General features: G+C 43.9%; 1 protein-coding gene across 2 annotated transcripts in view; it reads right to left on the bottom strand.

Annotated features, from left to right (window-relative positions):
- VPS13D (vacuolar protein sorting 13 homolog D) overlaps positions 1-13,593 on the bottom strand; it is a 282,018-nt gene that overhangs the window by 46,044 nt on the left and 222,381 nt on the right. For both annotated transcript variants that reach the window (NM_015378.4, NM_018156.4), the window contains 2 exons: positions 9,874-10,006; positions 5,608-5,803 (listed from right to left, as the gene is read on the bottom strand). In NM_015378.4, the coding sequence (NP_056193.2) occupies positions 5,608-5,803; positions 9,874-10,006 (329 nt within the window). The remainder of the gene's footprint in view (positions 1-5,607; positions 5,804-9,873; positions 10,007-13,593) is intronic.

Below are 13,593 nucleotides of genomic sequence, written 5' to 3'. Positions count from 1 at the left end.
ACCACCACGCCCAGCTAATTTTTGTACTTTTAGTAGAGACAGGGTTTCGACATGTTGGCCAGAATGGTCTCGATCTCTTGACCTCGTGATCCGCCCACCTCGGCCTCCCAAAGTGCTGGGATTACAGGCGTGAGCCACCACACCCGGCCTCTTTGCAGACTTTTTGCTGACCTGTCCAACCTGACTGCATTCAGGCTCTGGTGACCCAAAAGAGTCTTAGTCCTTTTATCCTGGAGAGTCATAAGTAACATGCAAACATTGTTAACAAAAGGGGCCTTTCCTTAAGAAAACCCATTTCCATTTCACATCTAAGAGGTCATTCACGAGAAGTGTCTTAACAGATTTTGGGTGGTGTTTTGGGGCTATTTTTACTGAAAAAGTCAAATATGCCCACCATAAATCTTTTCTGTGAAATCAACCAAAAACTTTCTTTTTCAAAAGTTCTCAGAGCAAATGGAATTTACATCTACGTGCACAATCCGAGGGTCCCGGGATTCCAGAACATTATCAGTCCTGATGGCTGTATTCTTAAACACTGATCTATCATTATCCTTCAAATTCCCCTTCCTCCTTATCTAACTTAAATAACGAGATAAGCTCCAACACTCCTGAGCTTTGCTAAATTAGTTTAAATATTTCAAGTTCTGCCAACTCCTACTTCTCTCCCCACTTTTGGGTCTTGACTTAAAAGGTGAAGAAATATTTTAGAGGAAACCTCAGGGCCCAGCTTCATAAATCTTCATCTGCTACTTACCTAAAATGTCATGCACCCCAGTCTGCAACAGATGGTATTTGGAGAAACAAACAAGCAAATACATAGTGCAGAGGCAGACATTCCTTTCTTCTCAAAGGTATTTTTGCCTTCTTTTGTGAAATGGCTGCTCCCGGGTCTCTGCAACTTTCTACTAAGTATCTTTTCAAACACTACCATCAAAGGCCGTCACATTTACACAGTGGACTGGGCACTCTCACATGGCTTGGCACCTTGCTTGGGCCTGGTCTGTTTGAAGGGTAGCAGGCTCTTCACATAGCTTCAGTGGCACCTCAAGTGTGGCTGCATCTGTGCCATTTTCATAAACTTTACTTGGGAACAGACAAAGTGTGGCCCAATACACGTAGGCCAGAAGATGCAACCTGAGCCAGCAGAACGTTGCCTTGGAAAAGGTTTCTTATTTCAGTTCCAAACCACACATACTTGTACAGTGAACAAATGCAGTGGGGGATATTGGTCCACAACACTCATGTTGAGGCCAAAGGCTCTGCAGTCCTCCGCCCTCTTCTCTCCCCACCCCCACCTGCCTTCCTGAGAACTATTGGGTTGCCTGGAAATTTCAGAGGAAAGTTAGGTGGCTGTCGCTTGGAATGCCAGCGCACTCCAACAAGGAGAGGAACTTGGAAGTATTTTAATCTAAAAGAACATAAGGAGGGGGGGTTCCCTATAAATAAAATCATGTTCAAATAAACACAAAAAAGAGCCAATGTTTCCTGTAAGGCCACTTTTCAGATGGATTACTGGAAGGAGTACTCTTTCACAGTTTTATGGCTTACTTTCCTATCATCTGCTTAAAATTTGGGTCTTTTAAAACATAGATGCTAAGATCTAAGCCTTTACTTGGATGAAATATTACAAAGGAAGCAGAAAGTCTCATTCCAATTGCAGGCTCAGAGGCAGAACTCTTGGACTCTTGGGTTCTATTCCTGGCTTGGTCCCTGGGCTCAGGTCAACCCTCGGTCAGAATCTCACTTCTAATCCCTTCAAATCATTTGTTAGTCCCTGTTGTCTAAACAGTGGGGAAAAACCCTGAGTAACACCCCTGGATCCTGTTCAATCAACCGGGATGGTTGGAGATGGTTATAACTCACTTCCAAGAAACCAGGGTGATTTATCCCTCGGTGATAGTGTTAGAGCCAGTATGTTCCTAAGAGATACAGTGTCATCAGAACAAACTGGCACTGAAACATTTCTCCACCTGCAAGGATCTCTGCGCTCCTTTAATAGGACTTTAAAATAATATCACCCAGCATTTTTATAGTTCTTTATAGCTTCCACATTAAAATAACTCTGGTTGGGCTTCAAACCCCTGAGAAGCAGAATAAACAGAGAGATAAATTTATCCCCACTTTATAGATGAAAAAACTAAAACTGAGTCTTACATAGATGTCTTGACTTGACCCAGGGCCCAAAGCTAATAAGTAAGGTGGCTGGGACTCTGGCCTGTTGTTTTCCAGATCAAGTGTTCTCTTTCCTTGTTTGACAGGGTCTCACTGTTGCCCAGGCTGGAGTGCAGGGGCACAATCATAGCTCACTGCAGCCTCAACCTTCCAGGCTTCAGCAATCTTCCCACCTCAGCCTCCCAAGTAGCAAGGACCAGAGGTGCACACCACCCGCCACCATATCCAGGTTTGTTTTTTTTTTTGTAAGAGATGGGGGCATTGTGTTGCCCAGGCTGGTCTCAAACTCCTGGGCTCAAGCAATCCTCCCACCTTGGCCTCCCAAAATGCTGGATTACAGGTGTGAGCCACCATGCCCAGCCCAAGTGCTCTCTTCTAACGCATAGCTCCTCATGAATACTTCTGGACCTGGACAAATGGACTGAGGGACATTGGTGAAACGGCTGCTATGTATCCCTTCAGAAGAATCTGTAATTTTAGCTTTTTCTGCACAATAAAGGACACTGATCCACTGATCCAAACATATACCCTACTTGCCTCTGCCCCACTTGCCTCTGGTAACTTCTGCCATGACTCTCCCACTACTGGCACCTCCAGGAATAGAGAAGGGATGTGGAAGCTAATCCCCCTCCTTTGAGGATATATGAAGACCGGCTGTGCCTCAATGATCACGGTAGCTTTTGCTTCTAGGAGGAGTGAATGGTTAGGCAGATCGCTGTCTCATGAAACTTGCAGTTAAACTTTGTTGTTGTTGTTTTTTTTTTTCCTTTTTTTCTGCAGCCTACAAAGTTGGAACTTGCAGTTAAACTTCAATTAGGCTACCCAATTACTGTCTGCTTTGAGTCAAGCTGCACAACTTTTCTATATCCCGAGTGCCTCATCTACATGGAAATGTAAAACTTCATTGGGCTGAGATGAGGAGTGGCCAGTGCTGACTGTGAACGGCTCCCCAGTGCCTTCATGAGGGCATGGTCTCTGCTGCTGAGGTCCAGATAAGGCTAAGGTGGCAGGCCAGAGGAAACAGACAGACAAAAATGCAGTGTTGGTCAAGACCTGAATCATGTCAGTGTGCAGGTAATAGTAAAGTAAATCTTGAGTCAGCAGGGAAGAAACTATGTGGAATGCCATATCTTGACACTAACTGACTCTGAAACACGTACAAGAGAAATCCAATGAGCCCCCTCCTCGCAGACCCAGGCAGCAGGGTGCAATGCAGTGGTGCTGGGCACAGGGTCAAGACATAGGCTGGGTCTAAGTCTAGGTCTACCATTTCCCACCAGCTGTGTGGCTGTGGACAAGCTCCATGACTTCTCTGGACTGTCTTGTCCTCATTTGTAAATCAACTATGAAGATTAAATGGGATTCCACACGTGGAGGCACAAAGACAATGCCTGGCACATAGATAAGTTCCTTCCTTTTGCTGTTGCACACACAGTAGTTCCCTTTTACCTGGAAGGTGATTCTCTCTTCTCTTCACCTGGCCAACTCCTACTTCATACTCCAGGCTTCACCTCAAAGATTACTTTCCTAGAAAAGCCTGTCTCAACTCCCCTGATCACTAGGTTAGCCACCCTCCTTCTCCCCATCACCTTCTCTGATCATAGTCTCACGGCACCCTCTAAGTGTCCTCGATGTCATTTGTCACAATTTCAGCAAATAAGTGTTTATATAATTTTTTATGTTTGCTGCCCTGCTTGATTATAAGCTCTTTGAGACCAGAGACAGTTTTGGTTTCTGCTATTCCCAACCCTGAGTTCATAGGAAATTTTCAATCACTATTTACTGACAGGCAATGAATAAATGGCAGCTATGTACTGGCTGACAGAAAATCAAACTTCTGTGGCAATGTTGAACAACTAATAAAAATGACAAGAATGTCCCTCTCAAAGACATTCTTTCTGCAGTGACTGTGGCTACATTACTTGTGCTCCTAAAAAGAATGAAAAACCCCCATGAAGACTTGCAAGCTGACAATGTATAAAATTCAAGCCGTTTCTTTCTCGTCAACATTATTAAAACTTCACAGCACAAAATCATCTTTAAAAAATTTATCACATATACCTTGAACCCTTTTTAATCAACCAATCCCTTGGCTATTTTGACATTTTAAGAATACACATGCTTCTTTGGGAACTCTTAGGCGTCTTCAGCTTTACACTTCATTAAGTCTTATTATCTTAACAAATACTGGAGGTGGACTTCTTGGGCTTCGAGCAGAGATGGAAAAACTAACTGGAAATACTTTCGAAGCCTCCTCACTGCCTGCCCCTCCCCACAACTTCATAAATGCTTCAAAATATACTCAAGGATTGTTTTAGTTTTGTATCTGAGAATAGAATGTAACTTAACTAAAGTAAACCATACAGAGTTTACTCAGCTGCTTCCAGATGGAAGGCATTCTGGCACAGCACACTGCATGGCCCCAGTCCACAATCGGAGCATTTCCCCTACTGCAGTAATGTGTCTTCAGTAAGTTTTCCTGGTGACAGACAAATGGATTCACTTCAATTGGGGACAATTTCACTTCACATCCTATTTGAGGGAGTGATAGGGTGTGGATGTGGGCCAGGCCCTAGGCATTCTAAAAGGGCGTACTAATTCACTCAGGGAAAATCTATTATCCAAGCAGCAGCAAAATCCTTCTGGGCTTAAGTCGAGTCTAGCTTGGCTGGGCCCTTAACATTCATTATACCCTTTGTTGATAAGAATCCCCAATTAGTCACTCTGGAAAAGGGAGGCTAAAATAGGCCATTCAAGCAAACAGCTACGTTAAAGCAGTTGGGTTCTGTGGGGTTTGGAACCATATGGGCTGTCCCTGATTTCCAGTCTCAGCTGGTATCAAGGCCAGACAGCAATCCCACAGCAGAACTGCTGACCTGCTGGGGGGATGGGGGGTGGCACTTTTCTTTATGGGGTTGGGGCTGATACTTTCAAGCGGAAGGAAAATTAAGAAGGAACAGACCCACATGGTGAACAACAACAGTGGGGATTCTAGAACTATATCACGGGGTGTAGGAGTAAGAACCAGACTACAATCTGACAGTTTTCTTCATAGGCATGTGGGGATCCAGTTGGCTTGGTGAACAGAAGAAGCTTCTAACAGTTTAATCCTAATTCTGACCTCTCTAATGGAGAAAAATAACATAATATAGTTATACATACTTATATATAATATGCTATATATACATACATATATAAAATATATAGCATATATAAAATATGCTATATATATATTTATCTGAAAAAATTCATGCCAGGTTTCTGTACCTCATTTTCATCTTTTTATATTAGGCAGATCAGAAATTTCAGTTACAAGTATTTGAATTAAAAACCCTATAACTAAGAAAGTGCACAATTAAACACATCAGTATGGATTAGGAGAAGCAGCAGACCTAGGCTGGAAACTGCAAAAGCCATTCTTCCCACACCACTGACCTGGGGCCGCTGAGTGTGGCTGTGTCTCTCACCGCCTGGGCTGTTTCTGATGCAAAATCCAGGGCGCCTGCCACTGGCTTGGTTACAGTGCCAACAAGCCCTTTTCCAAGGCCAGATATGAAACCGCTGACACCCCCTTCTGTTTTCACACCTTCCACTGTCGAAGTTATAACACTGGTCAGTCCACCAATGATACCTAGTGAAAAAGACAAGGGCTGTTGTAACCTGACGAGGACAAAAGCAAAAGCATTTAAAGCCAAACCCCTTGATTATGGAATGATAACTTAAGGCCATTCTATTAATCTCTGTGCCAGAGAGGCCACAGACAGGCCAACTCACAGAAGAGGATCCTGCAGATTTGCCCATTAAGTCCAGAGTCAGAGGATATATGTTACATGTTAGTCAGAAGTAAAGTGTGCTCCAGTTCAAAAAAAAAAAAAAAAAAAAATCAGAGAAAAGCTGAGAGGTTAACAGTGGCCAATTTTTCGATCCCAGAGCTTGGGCAGCCTACGGACGATCAGGAGAGGATACAGATAGAGGATTAAATCAACAGGAGACTAGAAAATTGGGCCTTCGGGGAAAGTTTGAAGATGATGGCATCCTATGAAATATAAGGCAGAGGCTGGGCGCAGTGGCTCACGCCCATAATCCCAGCACTTTGGGAGGCTGCGGCGGGCAGATCACGAGGTCAAGAGATCGAGACCATCCTGGCCAACATGGTGAAACCCCATCTTTACTAAAAATACAAAAATTAGCTGGGCGTGGTGATGCGTGCCTGTAGTCCCAGCTACTCGGGAGGCTAAGGCAGGAGAATTGCTTGAACCCAGGAGGCAGAGGTTGCAGTGAGCCGAGATCGCAGCATTGCACTCCAGTCTGGCGACCGAGCGAGACTGTCTCAAAAAAAAAAAAAAAAAGAAAAGAAAAGAAAGATATCTAAGGCAGAGAGAGATAACTAAATGTAGTTGTTCCTTAGTATCCATGTGGGATTGATCCAGGATCCCCTGCAGATACCAAAATCCTAGGATGCTCAAGTCCCTTACATAATGTGCTGTAGGTGTTTGCATATAACCTACACACACCGTCCTGTATACGTTAAATCACCTCTAGATTATTTATTGTAGCTAATACGATGCCCACATATCACTTCATTTGTGTGGAGTCAATACAGTATTTGAAACGTGTGGCAAATTCAAATTTTGCTTTCTGGCACTTCGTGAAATCTTTTTTCCCCCCAAATATTTTCCATCCATGGTTGGCTGAATCTGTGGATATGGAGAGCTGATGGTATACATTTGCAATTTTCAAAGAACACTATGGGGGTGACTGGCCAACCCCACTGGATGCTTGAAATAAGGTAAAAGCTACTGCATGCTTTGATGAAATTCGGTATCGGCGATTATATAAAACCTTCATGAAGAGCACCCCAAAAAGCTGTGAAAGCTGGCTGGGACCCTCAATGGAGTCAGTTCAAAAGACCAATCCAGGTCAAAAAGGCATTCCAAACATTTTGCAAGTTGACAGCAATGGCTGAAAACACCTTAGAAGAGGCCAGAAGCTGGCAGAGGCTGAAGAGGTCACAGTCACTGAAGGGAAGAGGCAGCCCGTCTAGGGAGCATCTCCAGGACCTGTGCCAGGGACACTCACAGGATGTTTACCCTCTGACAGTGGGGTGTGAGGAAGCTCTCTAGACTCTTCAGCTCTAGTGAGACAAATTGGTAAAGGAAACTCCTTGGGTGAGAATGTACTAACAATTCACAACATTTCTTTTGGATTCTGGGTAAATTTGCTCCAGTGAGGCAATATCTCTTTCCCAAACTTTTTTTTTTTTTAGAAACAGGGTGTCCGTCTATCACCCAGGCAGGAGTGCAGTGGCATGATTACCGCTTGCTGCAGCCTTAAACTCCTGGGCTCAAGCGATTCTCCCTCTAGGTCTTCCAAAGTGCTGGGCTTACTGTCCTGAGCCACTGCACCCAGCCCTTTCCCAAACTTTTGAACAAAGTTTTTGGCAGAGCACACACAGAACAGGAATTCAGACTGGGACCTGAGAGACAGAACATGACTGAACCTGGGTCCAGCAAGGCCTGCAGAGAGAACTGAGCACAATTCCCATTTCTTACATCAAGGGGATTGAGTGGATTCTGGTTCTTATCACCTTCTAAAGGTCTTTTCATCCTAAGGGAAGACTCTCACTCTAGGATACTGCCTTCGTATAACCCAGAGCTCAGTGGATCCTCTTTGGATGAAGCCATTGGCTCCTGGAGAGGCTGTACATATTATAGGAATGATTCTTGATGGGAGGTGATTTTGCAACTTTGAACCAATCATGCATTTTCTCAGCACATTTGTGTGTTCATCCAGAAAGTGAGGAGAGCCATGCTCTCTCCACGTCACAAGGATGCTGGCCAGATAAAGGCCACCACACATAACAAAGCATTTTATATTCATTTTAAAAGTCTTCTAAGAGTCCAATGTACTGTCATTACCATTACGAGAAAGAATGATTAAACCTTAACCCCAAATGATTGCCCAACAGTCAACTTTTAAAATCCATAAACAAATTACTTTCAGCCAAATTTCACTTCTGGCCTGACGTCTCCTTAGGGACAGCTCCCTTTACGGTTGGGCAGCCTTAGGAAAAGCAAAGGCATTTTGATCCAAATCTCACCATTAGGAAAGCTGATAAACAAAAACTCTATTCTAAACGTGTCCTAAGCACAAATAGAAATATAATATTTTACTGTCTATATTCCTTCCTCTTCTTCCAAATGCAGATAATTAATACTGATCAGTCTTGATATGACTCTGATAGCTTTGGATGGTTCCTAAGGATCTGGTACAAAGAGTTTAATTTACTAAGCCTTACTATGCATGAGCTATGTGCCAGGTGTCATGTGAGGTACACAAGGAGAAAGGTGAATGCAAAGTGGTCCTTCTCCCCTCCTCACATTCTCAATCTATCAGATGTACACAGCTGGTGACATACACAACCCAGACTGTGCTCTGTCATTAACTCTAACAGGGACAATAGAGCTGGGAAAATGTATTGAGTTGGGACTTACAGGCTGAGTAGGATTTTGATAGACAAGGAAATGAGGCAGAGGAGGGAGAGCAGAAGGACCATGTGTGAGCAAGGACTTGGAAGCACACCTGGGAAGCAGTACATAGCTGTGTGTGGCCAAAGTGCAGCATGGCTGAAGGATGGTGGTTGGAAAATTGGCTGGATTTATAGTTCCAAGGGCCTTGGATGCCGTACTAAGAAATTGTTAAGAAAAATGCAACAAAAGGCAAATGACTCAGAATTAAAGCATTAAAAGAATTCAAAGTCAGAGACCAAATGCATTCATGCCATCACCAACATCTCTTAGGCAAATAAATTTATAATTTTAGTGAATGCACATTTATGTAAAACTAAAAAACACCTGGGCTACAAACCTGGCCACAAATTCCTCATTTCAATTTCTTTGGAAGGAATGATCAGTAAGGAGAAGGCAGAGGTTACAATTCTAAGAGAAGTAGCAGCTACAATTCTAAGAACAGGTCTGGTTGATTACACCTTATGATACTTTGGGAACAGAAGCCAGAGAACGAAAAGGAATTGCAATGTGCACAACATTCAGAAAGCGAATGAGGAGTTCTCACCGGCTGTCGTATTTCAACTGCAAGGAGGATAAAGTAAGAGAGCTTGGAAGGCTATCAGGTACGCCAACACAGGATTTCCTCTGTTGTCAGCCTTTTCTTTTTTTTTTTTTTTTTTTTTTTTGAATTGGAGTCTTGCTCTGTTGCCAGGCTGGAGTGCAGTGGCACGATCTCAGCTCATTGCAACCTCTGCCTCCAGGGTTCGAGCAATTCTCCTGCCTCAGCCTCCCGAGTAGCTGGGACTACAGGCATGTACCACCACGCCTGTCTAATTTTCGTATTTTTGATAGAGATGGGGTTCCACCATGTTGGCCAGACTGGTCTCAAACTCCTGACCTCAAATGATCCACCCGCCTCGACCTCCCAAAATGCTGGGATTACAGGATTGAGCCACTGTGCCTGGCCTAATTTTTGTATTCTTAGTAGAGGCGGGGTTTCACTGTGTTGGCCAGGCTGGTCTCAAACTCCTGACCTCATGATCCACTCTCCTAGGCCTCCCAAAATGCTGGGATTACAAGCATGAGCCACCGCGCCCAGCCCACCTTTCTTTTTTTATAGCTGCAATCAGATTGATACAAAGGCGCCTCTGAGGACCAGCAGCAGCAGAGCCTGATGTCACCCATGACTTACCATGAGCCAGGCCATGGATGCCGGCTACAAGGTGTTCACCACTTGTGGCTGCATGGTACCTGATGTACTCCCGCTCTGACTGATGCCGATTGTCCATCGTCTTCCCTAAGCCATCTGATAATGTTCCAGCAAACTAGAAGGAGTTAAAAGCAGGAGAAGAGTTTTAAAGTCTTGGCACTATTTTTACTATTTGAATTACTTTAAATAAATTTAAATTAAATACAATTAGATAAGCCCATGCTGGTCTGTAGTGGTGTGATCTCATCTCATCACAACCTCCGCCTCCCAGGCTCAAGTGATTCTCCTGCCTCAGGCTCCCGAGTAGCTGAGACTACAGGTGTGTACCACCACACCTGGCTAATTTTTGTATTTTTAGCAGAGATGGGGTTTCACCATGTTGGTCAGGCTAGTCTCGAACTCCTGACCTCAAGTGATCTGCCCACCTAGGCCTCCCAAAGTGCTGGGATTACAGGCGTGAGCCACTGTGCCTGGCCAATAATTTAAATATAAATAAATTTAAATATTTTAAATGCAGTTACCTATACTGTCTGCCCCAGGTTGAGTGGTTCTCAAAAGGACTGGACACATACCAATTGGGGGATGCATACAATGGAGGACACTAGGCTTTGCAAAGCAACTACTAAAAATCTTTAATGACATTCACTTTCCAGAATACTACTCCAAATTTACTGAAAAAATCAGAGGTATAACAAAATAGTCTTGAGGGAGAAGTGAGCTTCAGGACTGTATCATGGTAAGAACATAGGCTCTTTGCTCTAAGAATTAGTGGAATTCAAAACAGGAAATGTGTCAGATTGTTGCTTTAGGGTTTGGTATCAAATATTTGGAGACATCAAACTCCCTCCAGTAATGCTGTCTTTCATTTATTCAATAATTACTGAGTACCTATGAGGTGCCAAGCTCCATTTGTCAAAAGCCAAAAACGAAATCGATGGAAAGATTAACAGGTTAGGTCACCGTTCATAGGAGGTGGCAGACTTGAACTCATGATTTCAAATGCAAACCCACCCTTTCCACAATTCAGAGATTTTATTTATCCTGGCATACTTTAACCAGAAAAGCTGTCTCATCCATCAAAGCTGGGATAAAAAGGACATAAAACTCTGTTTTGTCACAAGACAATCTGAAAAGGTTTAAAGTGACAGTTAATAAACCACAGAGTACTTATCCTCATCATTCAGGCATAAAAAGAGAAGGATATCAAATATATAATTAACCTTCTCAGGAAGGATCTACCAAAACAAGTGGTTTAAGTGCCAATGACCCAGGACTAACCTCTTAGAAAACTCACAGGAATGTTCCTTAGATACAAGGCTCAGGGGAAAGCCTCAAGGCAAGCTGCCTGCCTGGAAGGCCCAGGAACTGGGTGGCCATCTAGGGGCCTATTTCATTCTCCTTTGGCAAGGGGGTTAGGGTGCGTGTTACACAGATCAGATCTGCCCTGGAAACCTCAGTCATGAGGATTCTTGACACATGTGACAGTGAGTTCTGGGCACAGAAGAGGGACTAGTGAACACAGCAGCAATTCCATGTAAAGCAACAGTTCCTGGAAGAAGCTATGGGAAGACTCATGCCTTTTACTCAGTCCAAATATTTTACAACCTAGGGCAGTGATTCCTGACCTTTCTGGAGATGTAACCCCTATCATTATTTGTTTGCTTTCTGCCTTGCCTTCCATATCACTGCCTGTCTAATGAGAGAATTAAAGTTAATGAAAATTAATAACTTCCTTTAGGACAACTGGAAACACCACACGACGCTGCAAAGCTAGCACCGTGAATCACTAAGGAGTGGCTTCAGTCAGAGACCCCATCTGAGAGTTACCACAGTATAGGAGAAGGGCCACAAGCTGGGGCATCTGACCAAACTTCAGTCCTCCCTCGACCATTCTGGTAACTACATGACCCTGAGCGAGGTCACCTACCTCTGAGCCTCCTCTGCATCTGGAGAATAGCCAGAGTACCTACTTTGTCATGTGGCTGGAAGCATTCATGACAATGGCTCGGGGGCCTGGTATCTAGTTAGCATTCTTACTGTTCTTATTACTCTGCTACTAGTCCAAGGAGGAACATGCCTGCAGCGTTTGAGGGAAGCCTGTCAAAGGTTTAGAATTATGGTCATTTGCACTATAGTTTAACATAATAAAATCCTCTCTTTCCAGCAGATAAACACCAGCCTCCCAAGTAAGTTTTTGGAGTGGTACCACTTACAAAATTAGAGTGTTGGACTCTACGATTTCCAAAATCCTTTCCAGCTCTGGCACTGTGTGACCTACAACCCAAGGTAGAATGTCTTTACTAAATACTTCCTCTGAGCCCAGGACAGATTTAGGTACTGCTGAAGAACACAAACAAACAGCAGCCTTGAACCCTGCCCTCAAGAACTGACAGTCTCTTTGAGAAGGTAACAATCGTATACACAAAACAGTCAGCAGGAACCCAGGACACAAACTACACAGAAAGGAAATGTGACCTTTGTTTTGGAAAGAATCAATAAGAGTGCCTGCTATGTTTAGAATTATGTAGGCTGCCAGCGTTCTTCAGGTTCCAGACAAAAACGTGTCTCTCTGGTGCCCCAGACGCTGTGAGAACCACAGTTAAGTGACGCGTGCCCATGTCCTGTGTGTCTCCAGGGGACACATCTCCACCTGAAGAGACCCAGGAGCACCGCAGCCAATTCAGGGTCTTATTCAGGTCTTTCCTGTTTCTCTCAAGCTCTTATATTCTTTCTAAGAGCTTACATTCTCTTTCTTGGAAGACAGATAGGGTAAAGTGCTCTTTACCTATCGCTGGCAGCTAACTAGGAGGAAGTTAAAAATCCTATAATACTCCCCCACCAAGAGAATATGGGAGAATAATCTAGGCAGAATACCCAATATCACTCCCTCTTCTTCTACTCCCATCAATTAATATCCAAAGTTGATGAGTGAGCCTATGCCAAAAGCTTAATTTCCAACTAAGTCTGCTGTGGCAGCCTCAGCTCCCCAGCACCAACTGGGTCCTGGGTGTTCTCTATACAAAGACAATGTATTGACCCAAGGAGGATGGGATGAGATGACCTAAGAGATCACTCTTCCCTCTAATGCTGGATTCTTCCGTAAGATGAAGACCTTTGCCATGGAAAGGTACCTACACCTATCTCAACTTACTGTAGGACTTCTGTCTGAATTCCTGTTTCTCTGTCCATAAAAAATTGCTTATGCAAGCCAACTGGACTTGTCCTTTGCCACTTGTTAACAGTCAACCATTACAAAAGTCTTCACCCCTAGAAATACAGCTTTGAGAACCCAGAAAACTTGAGTAGATGTTGAAATCTATGATCCAACCAAACCTGTATTGATGAGTAGTTAATCAGATTTTACTGGGAAAGACGTTTTACAGAAACTAAACCAAAGCCAGCCAAATGATGGATACAGTGGTAAAGGCAGGGCCCTGGGCCAGTTCACTGCACTCTGAGGATTGAATCCAGGCTACCATAAAGCATGTGGCCTCCTTTTACTATGGAGGCATTTAGTTAGGCATCCTTAATTCTACCCCATTCCCCACCTCAGTGGGAAGGTAAGTCCTGCCCAGCCATTATTTCTCCCTCAAAGACAGCAGAAAACAAGTGGGCTGTGGAGGGAGGGAATTCCAGTGGTGCTCATCATGGGTGCCCTCTGGCCTTGCTCTTCTCTGAAGCTTGGAAGCACTATTTTACCCA

Source organism: Homo sapiens, chromosome 1 (genome assembly GCF_000001405.40).
Source record: "Homo sapiens chromosome 1, GRCh38.p14 Primary Assembly".
In the NCBI taxonomy this organism is placed as follows: domain Eukaryota; kingdom Metazoa; phylum Chordata; class Mammalia; order Primates; family Hominidae; genus Homo; species Homo sapiens.
The sequence above is the reverse complement of the archived record's forward strand: the minus strand, read 5'-3'. Positions and strand labels throughout refer to the sequence as shown.